Source organism: Homo sapiens, chromosome 12, assembly GCF_000001405.40.
Source record: "Homo sapiens chromosome 12, GRCh38.p14 Primary Assembly".
Taxonomy (NCBI): Eukaryota; Metazoa; Chordata; class Mammalia; order Primates; family Hominidae; genus Homo; species Homo sapiens.
The window spans coordinates 76,167,882-76,174,030 of record NC_000012.12 but is presented as its reverse complement, the minus strand read 5'-3'; the positions used below and the strand labels follow the sequence as shown (position 1 = coordinate 76,174,030).

Here is a 6,149-nt window from a genome sequence, read left to right as displayed (position 1 = left end):
ACTGCATGTGTTAGTTCTTCAGGAACAGAATGTCAGGGCACATGAACAGACAACAATCATCTCCTTCCTCCACTTGCACAATCTGTCACCAATAACCAGCAATGACGGCTGTCTACTATCATGGAAGGCTGTCACTAACTGTTAGTAATTCTCAAAACTTGGAAAAGTAACCAATACTTCAGAGGCTAACCTGCAATGTTTTTTGGTTTTGTTTTTGTTTTTGAGGCGCAGTTTTGCTCTTGTTGCCCAGGCTGGAGTGCAATGGTGCAATCTCGGCTCACTGCAACCTCCACCTCCCAGGTTCAAGCGATTCTCCTGCCTCAGCCTCCCAAGTAGCTAGAATTACAGGCACGTGCCACCATGCCTGGATAATTTTTTTTGTATTTTTATTAGTGATGGGGTTTCCCCATGTTGGTCAGGCTGGTCTCAAACTCCTGACCTCAGGTGACCTGCCCGCCTCTGCCTCTCAAAGCGCTGGGATTACAGGCATGAGCCACCGCGTCCAGCCACCTGCAATGTTAAGAATAGCAAAAGTGTTGAGAGAGACATCCAGCATGTACCATTTTTATAAGCAGATAGACCCAAAGCAAACTGTTAAGGTAGTAATAAGCATCCTGAAAGAAGCATAGGTTTTGGAGGAGAATTGGACTTTGGTCATGGCCCTTCCAAAATTACTTGCTATTAATTTATTCAAAATATTTACACTTCTCCACTGTGTAGGTGCTGGGAATACAATGATGCTCAAGACAGATATGGTCTCTGCCCCTAAGGAAGGGGACTCCCCACCCTTCCCCCCAAAAAAGTAAACAGACAAATAAATGAAACGCTTTTTAGTTGTTTTAGTGCCATGAAGGAAACAAACAAATGGTTTCCCATTATCCTAGGATAAAAACCAAATTCTTAATATGGCCCTTACCATCCATTTCAACCACATCTTATACTTCTTCCCTGCTAGGTCTATCTGTTCCAGCCACAGCCTTTTTTTTTTTTTTTTTTCTTTTAAAACAGAGTCTCTCTCTGTTGCCAGGCTGGAGTGCAGTGGTGCATATCGGCTCACTGTAACCTCTGCCTCCCAGGTTCAAGCAATTCTGCCTCAGGCTCCCGAGTGGCTGGGATTACAGGCACGCGCCACCATGCCCAGCTAATTTTTGTATTTTTAGTAGAGACAGGGTTTCACCATGTTGGCCAGTATGGTCTCGATCTCCTGACCTCGTGATCCGCCCACGTAGGCCTCCCAAAGTGCTGGGATTACAGGCATGAGCCACCGCACCCGGCCCACAGCCTTCTTTTAGTTCCTCAAATGCACGAAAGCCTTCCTGTTTCAGTCCCTTGACATATGTTGGCCAGCTCCACCCCTACTTTGCCTCTGTTAATTCCTTATGTATCTTTCAGATCTCAGGACAAATATGTTTGCAGAGAGACTTTCTTGGTGTCCGCCTACCTACACATTCCCTGAGCATCCCCAACCTACATACAATCAATAGCCAGGCCAGTTACTCCCTAGAGCCCCCTGGGTTGTTTCTTCATAACTCTCACTACAGGTTGTAATTAATAATTTGCCTGTGTAATCATTTGTGTAATGTCTGTCTTCTCTCCCATCACAATATGTTGCTACTGGACCATAGGTTTCATGGGGGGCAAAGTTTACTGCTTTACTTACATTGAATTCCCAGGTCTTGGCACAATAAATATTTATGGAATGAATGAATGGAGGTATGCATAAATGAAGACATAACCAGCCAAAAAAAACCTACCACCAGGGATATGCCTCAGGAAAATTTTTTATGAGGAAAGTCTGGCTGTCCAAAGAATTTCCTCTTTCCTAGCTTCTCTTGTCTGACCTCGCTGGGCAGGTTGTTGTTGTTTTGAGTTTTTGTTTTTATAAGTTCCCTTTTTTTTTTTTTAACTTTCTTTCACTTCTAAAATTAAATTTAGCCAAATTTTTTTCTTTTTTTAAAAAAATTTGGGTTTTAGCTCCATCTTAATGGTATAGCTTTCCATTTCAAAGTTTTCATCTTATTTCTCTAGCCCTCAGCCTTTTAAAAAATTATAAATATTTATTTTATTTTGCTTTCATCAAATTCAAATCTTAATTTGGAATATTTAGGTCTAGTCTTTACTCTTTTTTGACTTGCTGCTTTCAGTTGTTCAATATCCCTTTTCAAATCTAATTTTAAAATAAGCATAATTTATCTCATAATTTCTTTTTAATTTGTTAATGGCTTATTTTTAACTTAACTGACAGATTTAAGCATTATTTAACCATGAAATTTCTCTTTTATTTGGAATTTTACCCTGTTTGCTCTCATCTCCTGCTCCCTCTCTCTCCCTCCTGTTCGTCCCATTGTTTCCCTCTCACCCATCCTCCACTCCCACTTCCCCACCTGTATTTGCGATGTTCAGAAAGAGGGGAGTCAGGAATGTAAACACTGGAAGAGTTTGCTTTATGAACATGGAAGAATGAAAGCCATCCTTCCCTACCAGTTTTCCTAGCATCAGCCTGTTGGACCACTTCATCAGTATTCCTGATTTATTAAGGATGGTTCTCCACAGAACCTTATTATAGAAGATGGGGTGAACTCAATTCATTGTCTCCAGAGAAACAAGTCCCATTTTGCAGTTGGAATATTTGATATGCTGAAACAATGCTGCTTGTTAATATCCCTTACCATCTGGTTCTTAAATGAGAAATTTGGGGGAAAACTATTCCAGCTGCCTGCCCAGGAGAAGTTGAACCTTGGAAGGGATTCTCCAGGTAGAGGCTCTCCGAGCCTGATCTGGTGAGATGCTGACAAATCTCTCAATAAATATTTACAGGAAGTTTCAAAGCACAGAATCTGCAGCCAGTGTCTTGGCTCCACATTAAGCCAGCTTGGATTCATCATTCTCCCAAAGATGTTTTCCTTCCCTTCTTGGCAGGTAGACACCATGGGTCTCCTGTGCAGTGGCTGCTCTCAACTCTCTTCTTTGTCTGTCTGTCTGCTCATAGGACATGGGGCTCTCCAGTATGCTAAGGAAAGTCTTTATGCCAGGGACATTGGCTAAGTTACTGAGATATTTTGTTCATCCCTTCAGAAGAGGGTTGGATGCCACTCTGGGGGATGAGAATCCCTACAAGATCACAACACCATTTCCATCCTCAAATCTAGCACTGGGGTCCTATATAGGCTTCTACCAACATGGACTCTTTTCCTTGAGGAGATCTGCTCCACTCCACATTACTTGGTTGAATTAAATCCATTCCTACCCAGTTTCAGAGAAGTAATCACTCTTGTCGAGTAGACCCTCAGATTCTCTGATCTCACTGTCTTGTTATTCTTAAGAACTCTCCTTTGAGAATCCTTCTTTGACCAACTCACCAACTAGTTCCATTCCTGTATGGGTGATGTGGATCTGTGGAGTCACCTTAGTTTCTTCAACTGTAATACGGGGACAATAGGATCTACCTTTTAGGGTATGCCTGAGGACTGCATGATACATTTATATAAAGCAGTTGATGTGTACACACCAGTGTCTGGCATATATGAGAGGTGGGTAATAAAAGTTAGCTGTTTTTACTGAATTTGTCTTCATCTTTCCTTTTAGAAATAGATCTACTTCATGAAATCCATGGGTCTATAGTTTCTGGCACAGGAAAATGTATTCAACACACCCAGATCTAGAATTTTTCCAGGAGGCTGAGCCCTCTCTCATACTTAAAATAATTCGGCTGGATCTGGGCTGGCAAGATGGCCGAATAGGAACAGCTCCAGTCTATGGCTCCCAGCAAGATTGACCCAGAAGGCAGGTGATTTCTGCATTTCCAACTGAGGTACATGGCTCATCTCATTGGGACTGGTTAGACAGTGGGTGCAGCCCACTGAGGATGAGCCAAAGTAGAGTGGGGCATCGCCTGATGCCAGAAGCACAATGGGTCAGGCAACTCCCTCCCCTAGCCAAGGGAAGCCATGAGGGACTGTGCTGTAAGGAACAGTGCATTCTGGCCCAGATACTATGCTTTTCCCACAGTTTTTGCCACTAGCAGACCAGGAGATTCCCTTGGGTGCCTACACCACCAGGTCCCTGGGTTTCATGCACAAAACTGGGCAGCCATTTGGGCAGACACTGAGCTAGCTGCAGGGTTTTGTTTTTTTTTTCCATATTCCGGTGGCACCTATAATGCCAGTGAGACAGAACTGTTCACTTTCCTGGAAACAAGGCTGAAGCCAGGGAGCCAAGTGGTCTAGCTCAGTGGCTCTCACCCCCGAAGCCCAGCAAGCTAAGATCCACTGGCTTGAAATTCTCACTGCCAGTACAGCAGTCTGAAGTCGACCTGGGATGCTTGAGCTTGGTGGGGGGAGGGGCATCCACCATTATTGAGGCTTGAGTAGGCAGTTTTCCCCTCACAGTGTAAACAAAGTTCGAACTGGGTGGAGCCCACCGCAGCTCAGCAAAGCCACTGTAGCCAGATTGCCTCTCTAGATTCCTACTCTCAGGGCAGGCCACCTCTGAAAGAAAGGCAGCAGCCCCAGTCAGGAGCTTATAGATAAAACTCCCATCTCCCTGGGGAAAGGGGCAGCTGAAGGCACAGCTTCAGCAGACTTAAACGTTCCTGCCTGCTTGCTCTGAAGAGGGCAGAAGATCTCCCAGCACAGTGCTCGAGCTCTGCTAAGGGACAGACTGCCTCCTCAAGTGGGTCCCTGACCCCTGTGCCTCCTGACTGGGAGACACCTCCCAACAGGGGTCGACAGACACCTCATACAGGAGAGCTCTGGCTGGCATCTGGCAGGTGCCCCTCTGGAATGAAGCTTCCAGAGAAAGGAACAGGCAGCAATCTGTGCTGTTCTGCAGCCTCCACTGGTGATACCCAGGCAAACAGTGTCTGGAATGGACCTCCAGCAAACTCCAGCAGACCTGCAGCAGAGAGGCCTGACTGATAGAAAGAAAACTAACAAACAGAAAGGAATAGCATCAACATCAACAAAAAGGACGTCCACACAGAAACCCCATCCAAAGGTCACCAACATCAAAGACCAAAGATAGATAAACCCACGAAGATAAGGAAAAACCAGTGCGAAAAGCCTGAAATTTCCAAAAACCAGAACGTCTCTTCTCCTCCAAAGGATCACAACTCCTCCCCAGCAAGGGAACAAAAGTAGACGGATAATGAGTTTGATGAATGAACAGAAGTAGGCTTCAGAAGCCTCCTCTGAGCTAAAGAAGCATGTTCTGACCCAATGCAAGGAAGCTAAGAACCTTGACAAAAGGTTAGAGGCACTGCTAACTAGAATAACCAGTTTAGAGAAGAACATAAATGACCTGATGGAGCTGAAAAACACAGCACGAGAACTTTGTGAAGCATACACAAGTATCAATAGCCAAATCGATCAAGTGGAAGAAAGGTTATCAGAGATTGAAGATCAACTTAATGAAACAAAGCATGAAGACAAGATTAGAGAAAAAGGAATGAACAAAGCCTCCAAAATATATGGGACTATGTGAAAAGACCAAATCTATGTTTGATTGGTGTACCTGAAAGTGACGGGGAGAATGGAACCAAGTTGGAAAACACTCTTCAGGATATTATCCAGGAGAACTTCATCAACCTAGCAAGACAGGCCAACATTTAAATTCAGGAAATACAGAGAACACCACAAAGATACTCGTTGAGAAGAGCAACCCCAAGACACATAATCATCAGATTCACCAAGGTTGAAATGAAGGAAAAAATGTTAAGGGCAGCCAGAGAGAAAGGTTGGGTTACCCACAAAGGGAAGCTCATCAGACTAACAGTGGATGTCTCTGCAGAAACCCTACAAACCAGAAGAGAGTGGGGGCCAATATTCAACATTCTTAAAGAAAAGAATTTTCAACCTGGAATTTCATATCCAGCCAAACTAAGCTTCATAAGCGAAGGAGAAATAAATCCTTTACAGACAAGCAAATGCTGAGAGATTTTGTCACCACCAGGCCTGCCCTAAAAGAGCTCCCGAAGGAAACACTAAATATGGAAGGAAAAACCGCTACCAGCCACTGCAAAAACATACCAAATTGTAAAGAACATCTACACTATGAAGAAACTGCATCAACTAATGGGCAAAATAACCAGCTAGCATCATAATGACAGGATCAAATTCACACATAACAATATTAACTTTAAATGTAAAGGG

At 43.8% G+C, this 6,149-nt stretch overlaps 1 annotated feature.

Annotated features, from left to right (window-relative positions):
• Positions 1,015–1,074: a silencer, noted in NCBI's record as "silent region_4670". NCBI's record gives its function as "represses an Ori minimal core promoter by ATAC-STARR-seq in GM12878 lymphoblastoid cells {active_cell/tissue: GM12878}" and the evidence as "EXISTENCE:reporter gene assay evidence [ECO:0000049][PMID:35858748]".